Genomic DNA, 24,867 nt, shown 5'->3' on the forward strand with positions numbered 1-24,867 from the left:
ACAACTATGTTATAATTAAAGGGTTCAAACTTTATGTTATTTCCTGAACACTACTGTACAATTATTATACAAGTTTTATTAGCCCCTATACATTTTCTCATGAAGGAGGCAATAAATAAAAGAACATAGTGTTTGATGCCAAGCAGATCCACATTCAGATCCTCATTCCGCCACTTTGTACCAATGTAATGATGAGAAAGTTGCTTAATTTCTACAAACTTATTTTTCTAGTCTGCAAACTATGGCAATTTAAAGCTACCTTATAGCTTTAAGGTATTAAAGCTATAGGTATTAAATTAGGATTAAAAGTTAACACATATTAAATGTTTACCATCATGCATGATGTGTGTTTTTTAGCTCCTAATCCTTTTTCCCCGCTCATTCTGCATTTCATAGTCCCCTTAAGGGAAAAAAATTAGTATGAGCCATATTGATCTTCAAATCCACATTGTTCTCCTTAGGATTACACAGAGGACTACATTCAAACAGGTCCTGGGCAGCTGTACGCCTACTCAACCCGGCTGTTCACCATTGATGGCATCAGCATCCCATACACATGGAACCACACCGTTTTCTATGATCAGGCACAGGGAAGAATGCCTTTCTTGGTTGAAACACTTCATGCATCCTCTGTGGAATCTGACTATAACCAGATAGAAGAGACACTGGGTTTTAAAATTCATGCTTCAATATCCAAAGGTAATTTGATAAAAGAAAATCCATATCTTTATGCCATCCAGTCTAAAGGGTTAAAAAAATTCAAAATAAGGACATTGAGGCCTACATCTAACATGATATCAGGTTTTTCATGTGTGTTGTCTATGCCTTTTTGTTAAGTAAAGCCCTATGGAAAAGCCAACCCAATTGGAGTTCTAGTACATTTACTTTACTAATATACTTCTTCATACTACACAGTGGGGTTGCTGTTGTTCTATTCCATATGTGCAGAGAGGGTTAAAAACATATAATGTGGCGGGGCGTGGTGGCTCATGCCTGTAATCCCAGCACTTTGGGAGGCCGAGGCAGGTGAATCACCTGAGGTCAGGAGTTCCAGACCAGCCTGGCCAACATGGTAATACAAAAATTAGCCGGTCGTGGGGGCGGGTGCCTGTAGTCCCAGCTACTGTGGAGGCTGAGGCAGGAGAATTGCTTGAACCCAGGAGGCAGAGGTTGCAGTGAGCCGAGATCACGCCACTGCACTCCAGCCTGTACAACAAAGAGCAAAACTCCATCTCCAAGCAAAGAAAAACATACAATGTGTCCAAATGCTTTTTATTCAAATAATACAAATAATAAAGTCCATTTGTTATTGTTTTGAATTTTGTTTGTCAAGAAATTTTTTAAATTCCTGAAACATAATACAAAGCTGTGTCTTAACCTAAACTAGTCAAAAAGAATTTCTATATTTTAAAAGCAGCTTTTTAAAACTGTGCAGCAATAATCAGGATTCCAACTGTCATTTCTTGTTCCTGGAAGTTATAATTTTTTAACTGCTTTTCATTTTCCAAGCATGGTTCTGCAACCCTTGATCTAAGTAGTCCATCTATGCTATGTGGTTCTTTGATGTGTCTGTCTCCTGAGATTCCCTTTTCAGTCATAAGAGCCACCACGGCAATTAACATTCCATATTCTGTGGGGTTTTAATGCTGGGATGATTCTTGCATGTAGTCCTGTTAGACATTAAATGTTTATGTGACTTTAGCTTTGAACTTTAGGCTCCCATGAGTTCACTTAAAAGGATTCACATTGACCTTGTCAATGTGTTTTGCTGTGTGCCAGCTTTCCTAAAATAGAGCCAAGTAAATTTTAAACTTCACCATTTTATCATGTTTAGCAGATATGCTAAAAATTTATTTTCAGTGTTTACTCTTGCTTCCATCAGTCATGCTTATGACTGTTTCCTTCAACTTGTATCAGAACTGCTTCATAAAATTTGAGATCATAGTAATCTGGAAGTACAAGCACACATTTTTTGAGGTAATCACAGATTCACGAAGTCTCATAGCCAGTGACACCCATAGCCCATCTCCTCCACGCACACCATTGCCACCACTACCTTTTACTATTGCCATGCATGCCATGCCACTTGAACAAAAGAAACGAGCTGCCAGAATGAGGAGTTACATTTTCTTTCCCTAATTATGCCTGCTTTTCAAATCTAACTTCTGTTTCTACTTTTTTCAGTACTCCATCTAATTTAAAAAAAGATAACTGGGCACAAATAAGAGAATTTCTACCATCTGGAACTAGATGAATTAAAATGATTTCTGAAAAGTCATGTTCACTTTCTACCTAATCGTGTACATTTTCCAAGCCTAAAACTGCTTAAAGATCTTTGTACCGTCTTTAAGTGTGTTTGTTGGGGGATCTGGGTCCCACAATATAAAGAAACACACTGTATGACCTTTAAGGCCCCTTACTATCCTTAGACACTGTGATTCTATGAATCACATCTGATGTATGTGTCATGGTTCTTGTCAATTTTAAGAATTGTGTACTTGCAATTTGTTTTTGAGCAACCATTAGGGGGCAAGCTTGCATTCCTGGTAGCTTAACTAGCAAATTATGTTCTGTCTAGACTAGAGCTAAGTATGGTTGCAGTGAAATTAGAATCTTCTGGAGAGCTTGATGAAAGTTCAGATTTCTGGGCACAAAGATTTTTGGTTTAGCAAGTCCACAGTAGGGTCTGGGAGTTTGTATTTTTAACACAGACCCTAAATGATTCTAATATATCTGGTCTGCACTCTTGCTTTTGGAAAGTACTGGTCGAGAAAACTCACTAACATAAGTCAGTGTCATTAAAATATTTTTATATCTTTAAAATCTAACTTATTTTTAAAATTAATTATAAAGTATATATTTTACAAATGAATCAGAGTATCAGAAATTATGCAGGAATATATAAATTTAACTAACTACAGATACATTTTTTACAACTTCTTCATGGGAAGGAAAAAAAGTGAAATGAGAAGGTAAAATATGCACCAAGAAAAAATATTTGCATCACATGTTATTGACAACCATGATTAATCTTAATACATACAAAGGCGCTTCAAAATCAGAAAGAGGCAAATACCCTCAGTAGAAAAATGCATAAGGGAAATTCACAAAAGAGTAAATAATGACAAATGTGAAGAAACTGTTTACCCTCATTAGTAAGCAAGGAAATGCAAATTAATGAGTTATTTTCTGACTATAACAAGGGTGACGACTGCCTAGTATTACAGAGGTATGGGGAAGTGAACACCCTTACACACTGCTGGCAGGGGGATAAATTGGTTCAACATTTCTGGAAGGCACTGTGTCTCCAATAGCCTTTCAAATGTTCATATCTTTTCAGTTATCTCATTTTGGGAGCCTGTCCTATGAAAATCACAGAAATAGCCAAAGATGAATGCTTAGGAAGTTTTATCCACTGTTATTTATAATAGAAAAATATTAAATATCCTCAAAGTAGGAAACAAATATGTAAGTTATGGCACAGCTATATAATAATAACTTAATCACTGAAATAGGAAATATTTAGCTCATTTATTCATTTAACAAATATTTGTTGAGTGCCTACTATGTACTAAACATTGTTCTAGGTGTTGACAGCATCACTGTAAACAAGTAACAAAGGGGAATGTTCATGACAATAATAACTGAAAAGTACTGTATGAGCCAAACCTGGGTTGCACACCCGTGGGTGATTATAAGAAAATCTTTACACCCATTAAAAACACAGATACCCAGGTCTCTTTCTTAGCAATTCTAGTAGAAATGGGACCAAGGGAACCTATATTTTTAATAGGATTTTCAAATGATTTTTATAATTAGTCAAGCTTGGCAATTATCAGTCTGTATATCCTAAATTTAATTTCTAAGTATGTATTCATAAAATTGACTGGAAGGAAAAACATCAAAATCTCAGCAGTAGTTTGTTCCATTTGACAAGACTACCAGAATTTTATGCTTTTCAAGGTTTCTATTACTATCATACATTATAAGCAAATATTTTTTATTGCCTTTTACTATCTTGAAATAAAAATTGTAACATAATTCAAAGTAACACACTTTATAATATGAAAATCAATAAAAGGAAAATAACTCATAATAACATTACACATTTTAATATGAAAATCTTTGGACAGAAAGAAGTAGTTGTATACTCAAACATATACTGAATCCTAGTATGATTATTTTGGGAACATTAAGCAACTTTTTTTTTATTATACTTTAAATTTTAGGGTACATGTGCACAATGTGCAGGTTAGTTACATATGTATACATGTGACATGCTGGTGCGCTGCACCCACTAACTCCCCCCACCCCAAAACAGTCCCCAGAGTGTGATGTTCCCCTTCCTGTGTCCATGTGTTCTCATTGTTCAGTTCCCACCTATGAGTGAGAATATGCGGTGTTTGGTTTTTTGTTCTTGCGATAGTTTACTGAGAATGATGATTTCCAATTTCAACCATGTCCCTACAAAGGACATGAACTCATCATTGTTTATGGCTGCATAGTATTCCATGGTGTATATGTGCCACATTTTCTTAATCCAGTCTATCATTGTTGGACATTTGGGTTGGTTCCAAGTCTTTGCTATTGTGAATAGTGCTGCAATAAACATACGTGTGCATGTGTCTTTATAGCAGCATCATTTATAGTCCTTTGGGTATATACCCAGTAATGGGATGGCTGGATCAAATGGTATTTCTAGTTCTAGATCCCTGAGGAATCGCCACACTGACTTCCACAATGGTTGAACTAGTTTACAGTCCCACCAACAGTGTAAAAGTGTTCCTATTTCTCCACATCCTCTCCAGCACCTGTTGTTTCCTGACTTTTTAATGATTGCCATTCTAACTGGTGTGAGATGATATCTCATTGTGGTTTTGATTTGCATTTCTCTGATGGCCAGTGATGATGAGCATTTTTTCATGTGTTTTTTGGCTGCATAAATGTCTTCTTTTGAGAAGTGTCTGTTCATGTCCTTCGCCCACTTTTTGATGGGGTTGTTTTTTTCTTGTAAATTTGTTTGAGTTCATTGTAGATTCTGGATATTAGCCCATTGTCAGATAAGTAGGTTGCGAAAATTTTCTCCCATGCTGTAGGTTGCCTGTTCACTCATGGTAGTTTCTTTTGCTGTGCAGAAGCTCTTTAGCTTAATTAGATCCCATTTGTCAATTTTGTCTTTTGTTGCCATTGCTTTTGGTGTTTTAGACATGAAGTCCTTGCCTGTGCTTATGTCCTGAATGGTAATGCCTAGGTTTTCTTCTAGGGTTTTTATGGTTTTAGGTCTAACGTTTAAGTCTTTAATCCATCTTGAATTGATTTTTGTATAAGGTGTAAGGAAGGGATCCAGTTTCAGCTTTCTACATATGGCTAGCCAGTTTTTCCAGCACCATTTATTAAATAGGGAGTCCTTTCCCCATTGCTTGTTTCTGGGAGGTTTGTCAAAGATCAGATAGTTGTAGATATGTGGCATTATTTCAGAGGGCTCTGTTCTGTTCCATTGATCTATATCTCTGTTTTGGTACCAGTACCATGCTGTTTTGGTTACTGTAGCCTTGTAGTATAGTTTGAAGTCAGGTAGCGTGATGCCTCCAGCTTTGTTCTTTTGGCTTAGGATTGACTTGGCAATGCAGGCTCTTTTTTGGTTCCATATGAACTTTAGTTTTTTCCAATTCTGTGAAGAAAGTCATTGGTAGCTTGATGGGGATGGCATCGAATCTATAAATTACCTTGGGCAGTATGGCCATTTTCACAATATTGATTCTTCCTACCCATGAGCATGGAATGTTCTTCCATTTGTTTGTATCCTCTTTTATTTCATTGAGCAGTGGTTTGTAGTTCTCCTTGAAGAGGTCCTTCACATCCCTTGTAAGTTGGATTCCTAGGTATTTTATTCTCTTTGAAGCAATTGTGAATGGGAGTTCACTCATGATTTGGCTCTCTGTCTGTTATTGGTGTGCTTGTGATTTTTGTACATTGATTTTGTATCCTGAGACTTTGCTGAAGTTGCTTATCAGCTTAAGAAGATTTTGGGCTGAGACAATGGGGTTTTCTAGATGTACAATCATGTCATCTGCAAACAGGGACAATTTGACTTCCTCTTTTCCTAATTGAATGCCCTTTATTTCCTTCTCCTGCCTAATTGCCCTGGCCAGAACTTCCAACACTATGTTGAATAGGAGTGGTGAGAGAGGGCATCCCTGTCTTGTGCCAGTTTTCAAAGGGAATGCTTCCAGTTTTTGTCCATTCAGTATGGTATTGGCTGTGGGTTTGTCATAGATAGCTCTTATTATTTTGAGATACGTCCCATTAATACCTAACATATTGAGAGTTTTTAGCATGAAGTGTTGTTGAATTTTGTCAAAGGCCTTTTCTGCATCTATTGAGATAATCATGTGGTTTTTGTCTTTGGTTCTGTTTATATGCTAGATTACATTTATTGATTTGCGTATATTGAACCAGCCTTGCATCCCAGGGATGAAGCCCACTTGATCATGGTGGATAAGCTTTTTGATGCGCTTGCTGGATTCGGTTTGCCAGTATTTTATTGAGGATTTTTGCATCAATGTTCATCAAGGATATTGGTCTAAAATGCTCTTTTTTGGTTGTGTCTCTGCCTGGCTTTGGTATCAGGGTGATGCTGGCCTCATAAAATGAGTTAGGGAGGATTCCCTCTTTTTCTATTGATTGGAATAGTTTCAGAAGGAATGGTACCAGTTCCTCCTTGTACCTCTGGTAGAATTCGGCTGTGAATCCATCTGGTCCTGGACTCTTTTTGGTTGGTAAGCTATTGATTATTGCCACAATTTCAGATCCTGTTATTGGTCTATTCAGAGTTCAACTTCTTCCTGGTTTAGTCTTGGGAGAGTGTATGTGTCCAGGAATTTATCCATTTCTTCTAGATTTTCTAGTTTATTTGCATAGAGGTGTTTGTAGTATTCTCTGATGGTAGTTTGTATTTCTGTGGGATCGGTGGTGATATCCCCTTTATCATTTTTTATTGCGTCTATTTGATTCTTCTCTCTTTTTTTCTTTATTAGTCTTGCTAGTGGTCTATCAATTTTGTTGATCCTTTCAAAAAACCAGCTCCTGGATTCATTAATTTTTTGAAGGGTTTTTTGTGTCTCTATTTCCTTCAGTTCTGCTCTGATTTTAGTTATTTCTTGCCTTCTGCTAGCTTTTGAATGTGTTTGCTCTTGCTTTTCTAATTCTTTTAATTGTGATGTTAGGGTGTCAATTTTGGATCTTTCCTGCTTTCTCTTGTGGGCATTTAGTGCTATAAATTTCCCTCTACACACTGCTTTGTATGTGTCCCAGAGATTCTGTTATGTTGTGTCTTTGTTTTCGTTGGTTTCAAAGAACATCTTTATTTCTGCCTTGATTTCGTTATGTACCCAGTAGTCATTCAGGAGCAGGTTGTTCAGTTTCCATGTAGTTAAGCAGTTTTGAGTGAGTTTCTTAATCCTGAGTTCTAGTTTGATTGCACTGTGGTCTGAGAGATAGTTTGTTATAATCTCTGTTCTTTTACATTTGTTGAGGAGAGCTTTACTTCCAAGTATGTGGTCAATTTTGGAATAGGTGTGGTGTGGTGCTGAAAAAAATGTATATTCTGTTGATTTGGGGTGGAGAGTTCTGTAGATGTCTATTAGGTCCACTTGGTGCAGAGCTGAGTTCAATTCCTGGGTATCCTTGTTGACTTTCTGTCTCGTTGATCTGTCTAATGTTTACAGGGGGTGTTAAAGTCTCCCATTATTAATGTGTGGGAGTCTAAGTCTCTTTCTAGGTCTCTAAGGACTTGCTTTATGAATCTGGGTGCTCCTGTATTGGGTGCATATATATTTAGGATAGTTAGCTCTTCTTGTTGAATTGATCCCTTTACCATTATGTAATGGCCTTCTTTGTCTCTTTTGATCTTTGTTGGTTTAAAGTCTGTTTTATCAGAGACTAGGATTGCAACCCCTGCCTTTTTTTGTTTTCCATTTGCTTGGTAGATCTTCCTCCATCCCTTTATTTTGAGCCTATGTGTGTCTCTGCATGTGAGATGGGTTTCCTGAATACAACACGCTGATGGGTCTTGTCTCTTTATCCAATTTGCCAGTCTGTGTCTTTTAATTGGAGCATTTAGTCCATTTACATTTAAAGTTAATATTGTTATGTGTGAATTTGAACCTGTCATTATGATGTTAGCTGGTTATTTTGCTCGTTAGTTGATGCAGTTTCTTCCTAGTCTTGATGGTCTTTACATTTTGGCATGATTTTGCAGCAGCTGGTACCAGTTGTTCCTTTCCATGTTTAGTGCTTCCTTCAGGAGCTCTTTTAGGGCAGGCCTGGTGGTGACAAAATCTCTCAGCATTTGCTTGTCTGTAAAGTGTTTTATTTCTCCTTCACTTATGAAGCTTAGTTTGGCTGGATATGAAATTCTGGGTTGAAAATTCTTTTCTTTAAGAATGTTGAATATTGGCCCCCACTCTCTTCTGGCTTGTAGAGTTTCTGCTGAGAGATCCGCTGTTAGTCTGATGGGCTTCCCTTTGTGGGTAACCCAACCTTTCTCTCTGGCTGCCCTTAACATTTTTTCCTTCATTTCAACTGGTGAATCTGACAATTATGTTTCTTGGAGTTGCTCTTCTCAAGGAGTATCTTTGTGGTGTTCTCTGTATTTCCTGAATCTGAACGTTGGCCTGCCTTGCTAGATTGGGGAAGTTCTCCTGGATAATATCCTGCAGAGTGTTTTCCAACTTGGTTCCCTTCTCCCCATCACTTTCAGGTACACCAATCAGACGTAGATTTGGTCTTTACACGTAGTCCCATATTTCTTGAGGCTTTGTTCGTTTCTTTTTATTCTTTTTTCTCTAAACTTCCCTTCTCACTTCATTTCATTCATTTCATCTTCTATTGCTGATGTCCTTTCTTCCAGTTGATTGCATCGGCTCCTGAGGCTTCTGCATTCTTCACGTAGTTCTCGAGCCTTGGCTTTCAGCTCCATCAGCTCCTTTAAGCATTTCTCTGTATTGGTTATTCTAGTTATACATTCATCTACATTTTTTTTCAAAGTTTTTAACTTCTTTGCCTTTGGTTTGAATTTCCTCCTGTAGCTCATAGTTTGATCATCTGAAGCCTTCTTCTCTCAACTCGTCAAAGTCATTCTCTGTCCAGCTTTATTCCATTGCTGGTGAGGAACTGTGATCCTTTGGAGGAGAGGTGCTCTGCTTTTTAGAGTTTCCAGTTTTTCTGCTCTGTTTTTTCCCCATCTTTGTGGTTTTTTCTACTTTTGGTCTTTGATGATGGTGATGTACAGATGGGTTTTTGGTGTGGGTGTCCTTTCTGTTTGTTAGTTTTCCTTCTAACAGACAGGACCCTCAGCTGCAAGTCTGTTGGAGTTTGCTAGAGGTCCACTCCAGACCCTGTTTGCCTGGGTATCAGCAGAGGTGTCTGCAGAACAGGGGTTTTTCGTGAACCACGAATGCTGCTGTCTGATCGTTCCTCTGGAAGTTTTGTCTCAGAGGAGTACCCGGCCCTGTGAGGTGTCAGTCTGCCCCTACTGGGGGGTGCCTCCCAGTTAGGCTGCTCAGGGGTCAGGGACCCACTTGAGGAGGCAGTCTGCCCATTCTCAGATCTCCAGCTGCGTGCTGGGAGAACCACTGCTCTCTTCAAAGCTGTCAGACAGGGACATTTAAGTCTGCAGAGGTTATTGCTCTTTTTGTTTGTCTGTGCCCTGCCCCCAGAGGTGGAGCCTACAGAGGCAGGCAGGCGTCCTTGAGCTGTGGTGGGCTCCACCCAGTTCCAGCTTCCAGGCTGCTTTGTTTACCTAAGCAAGCCTGGGAAATGGCGGGCGCCCCTCCCCCAGCCTCACTGCTGCCTTGCAGTTTGATCTCAGACTGCTGTGCTAGCAATCAGCCAGACTCCATGGGCATAGGACCCTCTGAGCCAGGTGCAGGATATAATCTCCTGGTGCGCCATTTTTTAAGCCTGTCAGAAAAGCACAGTATTCGGGTGGGAGTGACCCGATTTTCCAGGTGCCATCAGTTACCCCTTTGTTTGACTAGGAACGGGAACTCCCTGACCTCTTGCACTTCCCGAGTGAGGCAATGCCTCACCCTGCTTCGGCTCACGCACGGTGCGCTGCACCCACTGACCTGCACCCACTGTCTGGCACTCCCTAGTGAGATGAACCCAGTACCTCAGATGGAAATGAGGAAATCACCCGTCTTCTGCCTTGCTCATTCTGGGAGCTGTAGACTGGAGCTGTTCCTATTCGGCCATCTTGGCTCCTCCCCCCAATTAAGCAACTCTTAGTAATGTTCTGAATGAAACAGTCCAATCAGCCACCAATTTATATGAAAATTGCATTCCTAGAAAATTCACTATATATTTAAATCATGAAAAATGCTTAATATACGGCAGACACATTCAAAGCTTAGATAATTATAGATTTCTTACTTTCATGAAAGTCTTGCAAGGCAAGGGACAAATCATCATCTTGCAAGACTGTCTCATACATGGCAATATTGTAAAACCTGCCATGAGTCCTGTCCCACTCACTGAATTTTAATAGTCTTATTATGACAACCAAAGTATCTCCCAAAAAACTTCCCAAATTCCACCTATTAGATGATAGCCCCCCTATTTATAACCAAAAACCTAACACTACTATCAGATAATAACTATGTTTACATGACATATTTTTTCCACAATTATGTCCCCAGCAGTGTCCCACACAACATAACTGGTTGGATTAAAGAATGTATCAACAAATAACTAAGTGGAAACTAAATAGTGACACACACACACAGCAACCGTGCAATGATCACTTAGCAATATGCCCTAGATGTTTCTGTCCCATCTATCCTAGTACCACCCCCCTGCATGAGCAGGCAGACTTGGATGCTTTCAGGAAAGAGGTTTCTTGACTAACCTGTTCTTGTTAGCTTTTTTGTTTCTGACATCTAACTTAAATCTTTTTTTTTTTTTTTTTGAGACAGAGTCTCGCTCTGTCCCCCAGGCTGGAGTGCAGTGACGCAATCTCGGCTCACTACAAGCTCCGCCTCCTGGGTTCACGCCATTCTGCTGCCTCAGTCTCCTGAGTAGCTGGGACTACAGGCACCTGCCACCACACCTGGCTAATTTTTTGTATTTTTAGTAGAGACAGACGGGGTTTCACCATGTTAGGCAGGATGGTCTCGATCTCCTGACCTTGTGATCCGCCCGCCTCGGCCTCCCAAAGTGCTGGGATTACAGGCATGAGCCACCATGCCCGGCTAACTTAAATCTTTTCTATCACAATATGCCTGTTTCCCCTTATTTTGACTAGATGAAAAGGAAAACACTTGGTCACACGTGGGGGATTTTGACCCAAATGCTCAATAGTGCTAATGCGGGAGATCCACAAAAGGAGGGAGCTTCTTCACAGAGTTTCTATTTTTCACGGGCACAAATTATTTTAAGTTGCTTGAAAACAGCATTTCTCATTTTAGAGTAAAACCGGATAGCAATGGCTGGAAGAACAGGACTTTGCCCATGGTTATGCCTGGCATATACATTTATCTTGGACCCTTTTTAGTTATCACATAATTTTTTTATTGATGTAAATAACTTACACACGAAACCTGTTTCCAGTGGCAGCTTGTCAACAATCTCTGGACTGTGATTCATGTACTTCTTGGTTTAGAAACAGGAAAAGTTTTCCATGCCTGCTTATTTTCACCTATTGCATTTTTGCATCATGTGTTTCATCTTTGGCATATCTTCCCAGGGAAGATGGTACTGGAAAGAAGCCAGGGGCAACTATTCCAATAAGCCAGTTAACTTTGCTTTCCTCTCTGTGGTAGGAGATCGCAGTAATCAGTGCCCCTCCGGGTTTACCTTAGACTCAGTTGGACCTTTTTGTGCTGGTAAGTACAGAGATAAATAAAGGGTTTTCTTTTAATGAAAATGTCAATATTGGATAGCATTTAATGGGTATCTATTGCCCTTTCACTAGGTATTTAATCTTCACAACAGTTCTGTAAACATCCCATTTGACAGCTAAGGAAATTGAGATGTAGAAAAGTCAAACTATGGAAAACCACTCAGCATCAAGTGGCAGAGCTGCATTTGAATTTAAGTTAATTCCAAAGCCCATGTTCTCTGAATTTGGCCACAGCCAACTGTGTCAGAGATAGTGACTAAGTATAGATGTGGAGTGAGCAGACAGACAATGCTATACTTTATCTGGTGGCTTGATTGCCGTGGCTGTGAGAGAGCCACAACATTAAGTCACCTAACCCTAGAATTAATCAGAGGACAGGCAGGATTGTGGACTTATGACTAATGATTAAACCAATTTTATCCCACCAAAGTACCAGCACAAGAGAGGTACAGATAACTGCTAAGTAAATGGCTTGAGGAGCTTACATTTACATACACAGTGCTTTTCTTTCATTGGTAGGCAATGTAATATAGTCTTGTGATAAAGAGGTGGTCTTTCCACTGCCCAGGCACAAATCACAGCCCTGCCAGTAATGACTTGTATGACCTTAAGCAATTTATGTAACTTCTTTTTTCCTCAGTTTTGTCCTGCAAAATAAGGATAGTAATAAAAATACTTATCTCCTAGGAATTCTGTGATGAAAGAGTTAAAGCAGGTAAAAGGCATTTAGAGCACAGTAGATGATAAATATATTTTAGCTATTATCATTGTTGTTTTAGGATATAATCTAACCATCTATTCACTATCAAGGATAACTCAGATGCCTCAAATTATTTTTATTCAGTGAATTCATTTTGTGGCACTTAAAGCATTTTCTATTATATTTGATTCAACTTCTTGGCCTCTATAAGCAGTTATTTTTACTGGCTTTAATAACTCCCAGAAAGTAAGGATTTTACATACTGATTTGGGCCTTTTTGTTTCTTCTTTAAGATGAGGATGAATGTGCAGCAGGGAATCCCTGCTCCCATAGCTGCCACAATGCCATGGGGACTTACTACTGCTCCTGCCCTAAAGGCCTCACCATAGCTGCAGATGGAAGAACTTGTCAAGGTATTCACAAATCTAATACACACATTTAAGCAATGGGTCAAGGATTTCTTTGACCTAGAAAAAGTATGATAGACCCATTATCTTCTTTCCTACTACTTCTGCCCACACCTTGGCAACAAACAAAGAAGGTCTCCATTGGGCTGAGAAAGTAAGAAAGCAGGAACACTGTTCATGCACTGCCTGCATGTGGGGCACTCTCAAGGCAGGAATGCCTGGAGCATCTCACTCAAGATCTCAGAAAGGAGAAGTAACTTCTTAAAAGCCACCTAATTTATAAGTGGTCTGATTAATCTGTCAGTCTATGAAGATATTAATCACACTGTGCTGCTGTGAGTTTGTCAGCTATTTAGCCCACCTGATGTGACTCAACCAAAAACTTTAGTCCTTCTTGTTCTTTTCTAGTTTCAAGGGTCCTTCACTGCTTTTTGTATCCCTATTTCACCGCAGGTTCTTGGGCTGGGTGTTCTTCAGCTCACCTCAGTTGAATGATTCCCTCTGTTGCAGATATTGATGAGTGTGCTTTGGGTAGGCATACCTGCCACGCTGGTCAGGACTGTGACAATACGATTGGATCTTATCGCTGTGTGGTCCGTTGTGGAAGTGGCTTTCGAAGAACCTCTGATGGGCTGAGTTGTCAAGGTATAAAAATGGAGGCCTTTTCTTTATGTTCATGACAGTAAGAATTAGACCCACCTTTTGACTCCTCAAAAGTTAACTGTCTCAGAAACTCCACGAGGAAGGGACCACATAAAAGGGAGAGAATGAGGAGATATCCAGCAAGAGGGACTCCTGTCTCTCCGGAGGACTTAAACTTCATTTTATATGTTTTATAAGTTGAGCTTCTTCATAAGCTTTTATTCAGATATATTCCACAGCTATTTTAAATATGTATAGCACAGTGGTTTTGAGTGACCATTTGCCTGTTACCATTTGATTGAGATCATACTGCACAGTCCAATAAAATCTATTTCATAAAATTCCATTGCGTAAGACTGCCAGAATGTTTGTTGAATGATGTTTTTAATAGGCTATTTTTTAGAACAGTTTTAGGTTCACAGCAAAATTGAGTAGAAAGTACATAGATTCCTATATAACCCCTTCCCTCCACACACACAGCCTTCCTCACTATCAATATCTCACACCAGGGCGGTACGTTTGTTACAGTCAATAAACTTACACTGACACATCATTATCACTCAGAGTCTAGCTTAGATTAAGCTTCTCTTGGTGTTGCACATTCTATGGGTTTGCAAAAATTTATAGCAACATGTATCCACCATGATAGTGTGGTACAGAATAGTTTCATTGCCCTCAACATTCTCTGTTCTTCACCGAATCATGTCTGTTTCCTCCAACCTCTGGCAAACACTGATCTTGTTACTGTCTTTGTGGTTTTGCCTTTTTCCAGAATGTCATATAGTTGGAATCATACAATTGTGCAGACTTTTTAGATTGCCTTCTTTCACTTAGTAACATTTAAGTTTCCTCCACCCCTTTTCATGGCTTGATAGTTCATTTCTTTTAATTGCTCAATAATAAATATTCCATTATCTAGATAGAACAGTTTATCTACCTAGTGAAGGACATCTCAATTGCCTCCAAGTTTAGGCAAATATAAACAAAGCTGCTATCAGGATTTTTCATAGAGGAAAAGACAGTGGATCCAAAACTGAATGTCTATCAATAAATGACGCATGGTACATCTACACCCATGAACCATTGTGCATCCATGAGAAAAATCCAGATGTAGGAAGGTATGTATAATTTTGCAGAAAAGAGTATGTAACTGGAAACAACCAAAGAAAAAAGGAAATGGATCTATATATTTAGGTGGAGATATTTATGTGGCTGCAGAAGAAATATATTATTATTCATACTAGATAGTTAATGTTTGCCTTTGGTGGGCAAGAAAGGTAAAAAGGGAGAAGGGAGCCCAACCAAAAGAGGAAGAGGAAGAAAAAAAAACTGCACTAAGAAAAATCTTTTAAAAGTATGTGATCACAGCCAGGTGCAGTGGCTGACAAATGTAATCCCAGCTACTTGGGAGGCTGAGGCAGGAGAATCGCTTGAACCCAGGAGGCTGAAGTTGCAGTGAGCTGAGATCATGCCATTGCACTCCAGCCTGGTGACAGAGACTCTGTTTCAAAAAAAAAAAAAAAGTATATGATCACATCTGTGTTTCTGTAAGTTAAGTTAACACATTGTAGATTTTGAGAGGTTAAATTAAAAGATGTCAAATAGAAAACAGTACACAATAAGAGACATTGGCAATCTGGAATGTAAGGTGAGGAAGTGAAGAGCCCAACTATGGTGATTTTTCTTTTGAAGAGTTTGGAATATAGCAAGACAGAAGTGGCAGGAACTGGAGATGAGTATAGACCTGAGAGAGGGATTTGGTTATGAGAGGAAAATTTTGATTATATCTACAGGTTTATTGGAAAGAAGACTATAAGAAGGAAGGACTTTTTTTTTTATTATACTTTAAGTCCTGGGATACATGTACAGAAAGTGCAGGTTTGTTACGTAGCAATACACGTGCCACGGTGGTTTGCTGCACCCATCAACCCGTCACCTACATTAGGTATTTCTCCTAATGCTATCCCTCCCCTAACCCCCGCCCAATCCCTCAACAGGCCCTGGTGCCTGATATTCCCCTCCCTGTGTCCATGTGTTCTCATTGTTCAACTCCCACTTAGGAGAGAGAACATGTGGTATTTGGTTTTCTGTTCCTGTGTTAGTTTGCCAAGAATTATGGTTTCCAGCTTCATCCATGTCCCTGCAAAGGACATGAACTTATCCATTTTATGGCTGCATAGTATTCCGTGGTGTATATGTGCCACATTTTATGTGAAGGACCTCTTCAAGGAGAACTACAAACCACTGCTCAAGGAAATAAGAGAGGACACAAACATTCCATGTTCATGGATAAGAAGAATCAATATTGTGAAAATGGCCATACTTCCCAATTTAATTTACAGATTCAATGCTATCCCCATCAAGCTACCAATGACTTTCTTCACAGAATTAGAAAAAACTACTTTAAATTTTATGTGGAACCAAAAAAGAGCCCGTATAGCCAAGACAATCCTAAGCAAAAAGAACAAAGCTGGAGGCATCACACTACCTGACTTCAAACTATATTACAAGGCTACAGTAACAAACAGCATGGTACTGGTACCAGAATAGATATACAGACAAATGGAACAGAACAGAGGCCTCAGAAATAACACCACATCTACAACCATCTGATCTTTGACAAACCTGACACAAGCAATGGGGAAAGGATTCCCTATCTAATAAATGGTGAGAAAACTGGCTAGCCATATGCAGAAAACTAAAACTGGACACCTTCCTTACACCTTATACAGAAATTAACTCAAGATGGGTTACAGACTTAAACGTAAGACCTAAAACCATAAAAACCCTAGAAGAAAACCTAGGCAATACCATTCAGGACACAGGCATAGGCAAAGACTTCATGACTAAGACACCAAAAGCAATGGCAACAAAAGTCGAAATTGACAATGCGATCTAATTAAACTAAAGAGCTTCTGCACAGCAGAAGAAACTATCAGAGTGAACAGGCAACCTACAAAATGGGAGAAAATTTTTGCAATCTATCCACCTGACAAAGGGCTAATATCCAGAATCTACAAGGAACTTAAATTTACAAGAAAAAAAAAAAACCATCAAAAAGTGGTCAAAGGATATGAACAGACACTTCTCAAAAGAAGACATTTATGCAGCCAACAAACATGAAAAAAAGCTCATCATCACTGGTCATTAGAGAAATGCAAATCAAAACCACAATGAGATACCATCTTACGCAAGTTAGAATGGCAATCATTAAAAAGTCAGGAAACAACAAGATGCTGGAGAGGAGGTGGAGAAACAATAAGATGCTGGAGAGGAGGTGGAGTGTTTCATTGACATAGTTATGTGTCATTAGCAGTTGTCTACTTTTAAGAGTATTGAAGGGAGATACCCTCTCCAGCAATTAATTCTATCAAGTATTTGGCAGGTGGAATGTTTTACATTGTTGGTGGGTGTATAAATTAGTTCAATCATTGTGGAAGACAGTGTGGCGATTGCTCAAGGATCTAGAACCAGAAACACCATTTGACCCACCAATCCCATTACTGGGTATATATTCAAAGGATTATAAATCATTCTACTATAAAGACACATGCACACGTATGTTTATTGAAGCACTATTCACAATAGTAAAGACATAGAACCAACCCAAATGCCCATCAGTGATAGACTGGAAGGACTTTTAAAATGCATAGGAGGAGGGAATGATTGATGGACTACAGTCCTCATCTTGGTGAGGAAGGGTAAGATGGGCTGCAGAGCTCAAAAGCTCAAATAGGGGGACTTTTCTTCAGTGAGAGAAGAGGGCTTTCTTCCTCCAGGACTGGAGGAAAGGAAAGTAAAGGAAAGAAGGTACACAAACCACAGGCAAGTCCCCAAGAGTTTGAGGAGTTCATGCCTGCACACTGTTTTTGTTACACTATGACCCAGATGGTGTTTGGGAAGTACAATGTGGCAGTGACTGCCAAATGTAGAGAAATGCTGATGTTGATGCAGTCAGGCACAGGGTGATAAAGACTTGCACCAAGCTAGTAGCAACAAGAAAGGGGAAGAAAGGACAATTGCAAAAGACCTTAGTGTTGTTGGAGTTTTTTCCCTCTGTCTTCAGCATCCCAGTCTGTCAGTAACATTCCAGGACTGGAACTTCCGAGAAACAGGAGTGAGAGCCATATGGCAAAATACTTAAAGTAGAAGAGTGTTTCATTGACATAGTTATGTGTCATTAGCAGTTGTCTACTTTTAAGAGTATTGAAGGGAGATACCCTCTCCAACAATTAATTCTATCAAGTATTTGGCAGATCACATGAGTGCAATATATTGGATAGGTTTTAGAGAAGATCTTAAACATGGTAATGATCAAGATCATTAAAATGTTAAACATTTGGGATAAATTCAGGTTTCCTAATAGCATATAATGAAAGTTTTGTTTTATTTAACAGATATTAATGAATGTCAAGAATCCAGCCCCTGTCACCAGCGCTGTTTCAATGCCATAGGAAGTTTCCATTGTGGATGTGAACCTGGGTATCAGCTCAAAGGCAGAAAATGCATGGGTAAGAAAAGGGCTTTGAATTTAAAGGAATGACACCTCTATAACTTCTTAATGATGTCTGATCTAAATGCATACACTGTGTCTTGGTACTGGTTCCTATATAGGACATCAAGCATGCAGCATGTATGCAATCCATGCAAAACCAAAATGACAAAAAATGCTGTTTTATGAGTTTCTTTTTCTAATTACATACCCATTCTTCATAACATTTCCTCTAATATTTTTGCAAAAGTATATCTATACATATAAATATATGTATGTACATATATATGTATACAAATGAAGTTAGTATATATAAATTTTATTTTTCTAAGAGGAGAAAATGATTGGTATGGCTACCTGCTCTGTAAAACAATATTTTGTGTTTGTTTTTGATTTTTATTATATTTTAAAGTGTGTTACATACATTGTTGAATTTAAGCACTTTAACCTTACACAATGATTATGCAATGAATGTATATATAAATAATATCCCTAAAATCCAAAAGTATGATTTCTCTGGAAAAGTTGAATAAATAATTTTCTTAATCTACATTACCTTTGTTCTTTTATCAAGATGTGAACGAGTGTAGACAAAATGTATGCAGACCAGATCAGCACTGTAAGAACACCCGTGGTGGCTATAAGTGCATTGATCTTTGTCCAAATGGAATGACCAAGGCAGAAAATGGAACCTGTATTGGTGAGTGTCTGGCTGTTTCCGTGACTGAGATCAGTTTGCCGTCAACAAGTCAAGTAAGGCATTCATTTTAAAAGAAGTGATTAGAGTAAATTTAAGCTAACAAGGAAATCTTTCTTTTTCCATAAGTACTCCCAACTTCTAGGATAATTGAGCTCCAGGTCCCAGGGTCATGGCTGTACCCGGAAATGGAAGCTCACTATGAAAACTTATGACCATTTTGAGCTCCCATCAATTAAACATTTGGTTTACATAGTTTAATATCCACAAGCATTAATATTATCTCACATGATTTCTAATAGAAATTTAGCATATATGTTAAGAATTTCTTGGGGGAAAGAAAAATTATGTCTGTAGAGATTAAAATTCAAAATATAATTATTTTGGAGATGTATATTCCTTAAATATCAAATCCATGACCAGACAAATAAAATAAATAATTTGCCCAAAATTTATGCTTTGCCTGTCTAGTCTACATCAATGACCAGACACAAAGGTACATTATAGTTCTCCCTACATTTGTTCTGTGTATGTCTAGGCTGTACCAGCCTGGTTAGCAGAGCTAGCAACTGCAGGATTTACAAAAATAAAAGAGAGATACCATTCCCATTCTCATTCCTGCTAAAAAACACAGGAGAAAGAAATAATTTATGGGTTAAATTGGCCTACTCCACTATACCCCCTCCCCCCAAAAAAGCAAAGACCTATAATATGAGGAGAATGAAACACCATAAAGAGGAACAAATAAAATTCTACAGGAATACCCAAGAGAGTGACTGTATCCAGTAGGAGTCACTATGAAGGAGGTCATGAAAATGATCACATTTAAATATAGGTTGGGATGTTACTAGATGGAGATGACAGAAAAAGGAAAGCAAGAAAGCCTTGTATAAGGGAGAAAGAGCTGAACTTAAGCATAAAGTGTTAAAATTCATTGTTCCTTCTTGACAGCTATCTAACCTTGGACAAGTCTTATGATTACACAGAAATTTGATTTTAAGTTTCTCATTGTAAAAATAGTACAGTTTTTCTTTTAAAAATCAATTATAAAATATTAATAAAATTATTGTATCTTGGATTTGTTTCAGAACAATATGATAGGAGTGGGAGATAGATATAGATGAAGGAATATTGGCCATTTGTTGATAGTTGTTAAGTTCATGGTGGTTTAGTATAATTTAAAAAAACAACAACTGGTGATGGGAGTTGAAGTATCAGATTTCAAAGACTTGTTTCAGCTCTTACACTATAGATATAGGTCAATACTTTCCTTATCATTTAAGAGTAGCAGCCAACTCGGTCAGGAGTTTTAGACCAGCCTGGCCAGCATGGTGGAACCTCATCTCTACTAAAAATACAAAAATTAGCTGGGCATGGTGGCGCATGCCTATAGTCCCAGCTACTCTGGGGGCTGAGGTGGGAGGATCGTTTGAACCCAGCAGGCAGAGGTTGCAGTAAGCTAAGATCATGCCACTGCACTCCAGCCTGGGTGACAGAGCGAGACTCCATCTCAAAAAAAAAAAAAAAGAAAAAAGAAAAAAAAAAAGTAGCAGCCAACTCAGAGCATCATGTACAGTTACATGCAACTGTAAATATTTTTCAGAATATTGGCCCTAATTATGTATAAGCTTAACTAGACATGAGTTGAAAGATCAGAAACTTTTTAAGAAGCTACAGCAAAAATCTAGCTAAGTGGGAATGGAAATGTGGAGATACATGGTTTTGATTGAAGGAAATAGAACTACCCAATCTTGGCAACTGAGAGAATAAGTTAAAGATGACTGACCATTGTACTTTGTATATAGCAAATGTTCAAACTAATACTATTACTAGAAACTCTTTTAAAAGAAATGCTTTTCCATAGCAGGAATACAGAACATAATTTATCATTTAAAGCTTGATGGACTTGAAACACAGGCCTGCTGTTATCACAAATAGGGGAGTAAGGTTAAGGCATTGAGGGTGTGCTGGGTTTGAACTAGTGGTAAAACAAAGAGAGATGGGGATGTCCAGCTAGCAGCTAGAAACATGGGACTGTAGATCAGAAGCAATGTAGCACTATTGCTCTCAATCTGCCTAAACTCTAATCACTTGTATAAATAAGATGGCAAAAGGAGGAAGGGATATAGAGAAGGAGAAAAAAAGAAATCTGTGAATAAAACTCTCTCCATAGTAGGGAGCAGGAGGAGGAAAAGCAGCCATTTAATAAGTGGCAGAGCTGGGACTTGAACCCAGGTTTTCTGATTCCAAGTTGTAAGCTGGTATGATCTCAACCACTTGGTGAGAAATGCAACCTTTGGCAATTCTACAGAATGCTGACTTTAAATACAATGACTTTGGGTTTGAAAGAGGAAATGTTACTTCTCATTGCCTCCATGTCTGTAGATATTGATGAATGTAAAGATGGGACCCATCAGTGCAGATATAACCAGATATGTGAGAATACAAGAGGCAGCTATCGTTGTGTATGCCCAAGAGGTTATCGGTCTCAAGGAGTTGGAAGACCCTGCATGGGTAAGTTAATAGGAACTTGTTGAGCAATAAAGCTACTGATGTAGTTACCTAGCCTTACCAACTCGCTTAGGGCCACTTTCTCTATCCTCAAATGGTCTCTTGTTACAATAATAAGGTATGTGAATTGATTTACGTCATTCAACACAATTTGGATACTTCTTCAGAGACTTCATATTGAGCTCAATTTACACTGACATTTCAAGTGATAATAATCACTTACTCTGTGCTTGCTATACACCACACATATCAAAGTGAGGTTCTGATATAATTGCCATCACAACTTAATTATCAAGATTATCTCATTGATTATATCTCTATGCACATGACATAAATGTTTGCATAGATACATTTTATTTGAGCATGAAGTATATTTGTATGTAGTATGAAAGTTTAGGTGTGAGGTATTAAAATAGGGACACACAATTTAAATAAATGGATAATTACTTTATCATATATTTAATGCTTACTGTGTGCTGTTCCCTTTGCTAAAAATATCTCATTTCTCCCCAGTTGCCTGTTTGTTTTCATCTTAGTTATATTTGAATATGAAGGCAAATAGAAAATATCTGTAAGATAACCACATACTTTTGGTAAAAATTAATGCATTTATAATCAAGAAACTGATCTATCAAATTGTAGTCTTCCTTAGAATATTCAATTGCACTAAAATAATGTTGTGGGCTTTTAAATACTAGCTTCTGGGTTTCACGCTATGCTTTTCAAATTGGTTGCCTTCTTGTCCACTTAATGATTATTTATAGCAAATTCTCCCAAAAAGACTTAGCTCTGTCTTTATGCAATCCCTAGCATAATATTTTGTATGTACCAAATGTTCAAACTAATACCATTACTAGAAACTCTTTTAAAAGAAAATGCTTTTTAATAACAGGAATACAGATCATCATTTTAGTCTTCTATTTAGATATTATCATTTATATATAGTTTAACATCTTGATCAGCCATAACCGTGACTTTTCAGAATGAAATAGTTGTATTTATTCACCAATTTGGCCACCAGCTGGATCTCAGACATTGTGCTAGGGAGTAAAACAAGGAAGAATGCAGAACCATTGCCTCAATAAAAGAGTTAAAATGGCTGGGCACTGTGCTTCACGCCTGTAATCCCAGCTACTCGGCAGGCTGAGACAAGACAATCTCTTGATGTGGAGGTTGCAGTGAGCCGAGATTGCATCACTGCACTCCAGCCTGGACAATAAGAGTGAAACTATGTCTCAAAAAAAAAAAAAAAGAAAGAAAAGAAAAGAAAAGAAAGAAAGAAAAGAGTTAAAGAAACTGTCTCAAAAAAAGAGAAAGGAGTTAAAGTATTAATTTTTACCTACTAAAATAGTTTTTAAAGCAAAATTTACTATTTTATTCTACCTTCCTGTATTGTTTTCTTTCATGCCACTGTGGTAATGAATTAAAGAATTTGGTTTTCATTCCCTTTTCCAATTTATAGGAAGAATTGCAAGTACAGATTCCATGTGTTGACCTAACAATAGAAAGAAAATAACTTTTTAAAATTTTATGTGTTTGGTGAGTTTATATCTTAGTAAGAACTGATTCTATGTCCTTGTTTCCTTGATTTTAATCTGTTGGGGGAAAATGTGCTTGGCTTGTTCATTAATTCAAAATTATTAATTCAGAAAATAAAATTTTAAAGTCTGTAGTTTTGCCAGTATTCCTACCTCTAAAACTTATAATGGTATGGAAGATTAGAGACACTAGTTACCAATATTATAACTAAATACAAACTAGAGATGTGATTTCATTTCTGCTTCTGCTGATAGAATTAAGATCTACATTAGCTTTTGAACTCTGGTTTTCGTGTATTTAAGACTACGTATTCCCATATGATCTTTTTTGTTTCTACTGTTCACAGCTTGATTTGGCACATGATATCAAACCCATTCCTTCATTAATTCAACAAATGTTTATTGAGCACCTACTTTGTGTTGGATGATGTTCTAGGTTGTGGGAATACATTGCTAAACAGGGCAGACCAGGTCTCTGTCCTCGTGGAGTTTACCTTCCAGGGAGAGAAAGAAGAATCACAAAACAAATATACAATTTCAGATAGTGATAAGCACTTTAAGGAAACATAAAACAGAGAAACATAAGGAAACATAAAACATAAAACATAAAAGGAAAGGAAACATAAAACATAAAAGAGAGACCCAGATTGGGGTGGTAGCACTGTGATCCAGGCAGCCTCTCTGAGAGACTGGACAAAAGGAAAGAGCAGGCCAGGTGTGGTGGCTCACGCCTGTAATCCCAGCACTTTGGGAGGTCGAGGCGGGTGGATCACGAGGTCAGGAGATCAAGACCATCCTGGCTAACACAGTGAAACCCTGTCTCTGTCAAAAATACAAAAAAGATTAGCTGGGCGTGGTGGGACACACCTGTAATCCCAGCACTTTGGGAGGTCGAGGCGGGTGGATCACGAGGTCAGGAGATCAAGACCATCCTGGCTAACACAGTGAAACCCTGTCTCTGTCAAAAATACAAAAAAGATTAGCTGGGCGTGGTGGCACACACCTGTAGTTCCAGCTACTTGGGAGGCTGAGACAGGAGAATCCCTTGAACCCAGGAGGCAGGGGTTGCAGTGGGCCGAGATCATGCCACTGCACTCCAGCCTGGGCAACAGAGCAACTCCATCTCAAAAAAAAAAAAAAAAAGAGAGAGCAGCCACGATGGGAAGGTCTGAGCGAGTGTATTTCAGGCTGAGGAGAAGCCAGGGCAATGTCATTCAGAAAAGAATGCACTGACCATAATCAAGGAAGAACCAAGGGGTCAGGCTGTTGGAGCAAAGGTAGGCAGAGGGTAAGGAGGATGAAGAGCCCATAATAAAGAATGTGATGGGAAAACATGAAAGGTCTTGGGCAGACAAGCAATATGATATGGTTTACATTTGGAAAAGATCACTCTGGCTGCTATGTGGAGAATTAGGAGGGCAAAGATGCTTGCAGAAAGACCAAGTCATTTAAATAAAAATTTTAAAATAAACATAAAAGTAGTTACTTTTTTAAAATTATATGTGGACATATTAGAAAGCTTCCAACATTGTCAACCAGTAGAAAAATCTGAATTCCATCTGAAATATTTGTCAAAAGAGAAAAAACAAGAGAGAAATTTCCCAAATGTACACGTATGATTGTATTAAGAGGTACTATCTTGAGACTTTTTTATAAGTGAAGTTTGATGAAAATTATATTCATTTGTGATTCCACACTCTCTTGTACCTTTTTTTTTTCCAGAGGAAGATACACAAATTTTAACAATTTAAGATGTCTCTGCCTAGTTGAACTAAGAAAGCTTAGTGTAGTATTTCTAAGATTTAAAATCTTAATGTTACTCTTAGAATTACGTGTAAAAATGTATACCAAAGTAGCTTAAACTGATCAAGGAGACAAGGCTGAAAACAGAGCTCCCTAGGTCTTAAGGCCATCATAAGTGAGTCAAAGGGGTATGAACTTACAGAACTAGTGTGTCTTGTTGTCTGAGCCACTTGCT

General features: G+C 38.2%; 1 protein-coding gene across 4 annotated transcripts in view; it reads left to right on the forward strand.

Annotated features, from left to right (window-relative positions):
- Positions 1 to 24,867, forward strand: part of HMCN1 (hemicentin 1) — a 456,559-nt gene that overhangs the window by 418,898 nt on the left and 12,794 nt on the right. For all 4 annotated transcript variants that reach the window (NM_031935.3, XM_011510038.4, XM_017002437.2 and 1 more), the window contains 7 exons: positions 462 to 699; positions 11,823 to 11,885; positions 12,896 to 13,015; positions 13,520 to 13,654; positions 18,049 to 18,162; positions 18,718 to 18,843; positions 21,226 to 21,354. In NM_031935.3, coding sequence (NP_114141.2) covers positions 462 to 699; positions 11,823 to 11,885; positions 12,896 to 13,015; positions 13,520 to 13,654; positions 18,049 to 18,162; positions 18,718 to 18,843; positions 21,226 to 21,354 — 925 coding nt within the window. The remainder of the gene's footprint in view (positions 1 to 461; positions 700 to 11,822; positions 11,886 to 12,895; positions 13,016 to 13,519; positions 13,655 to 18,048; positions 18,163 to 18,717; positions 18,844 to 21,225; positions 21,355 to 24,867) is intronic.

The sequence above is a fragment of the Homo sapiens genome, chromosome 1 (genome assembly GCF_000001405.40).
Source record: "Homo sapiens chromosome 1, GRCh38.p14 Primary Assembly".
NCBI lineage: Eukaryota > Metazoa > Chordata > Mammalia > Primates > Hominidae > Homo > Homo sapiens.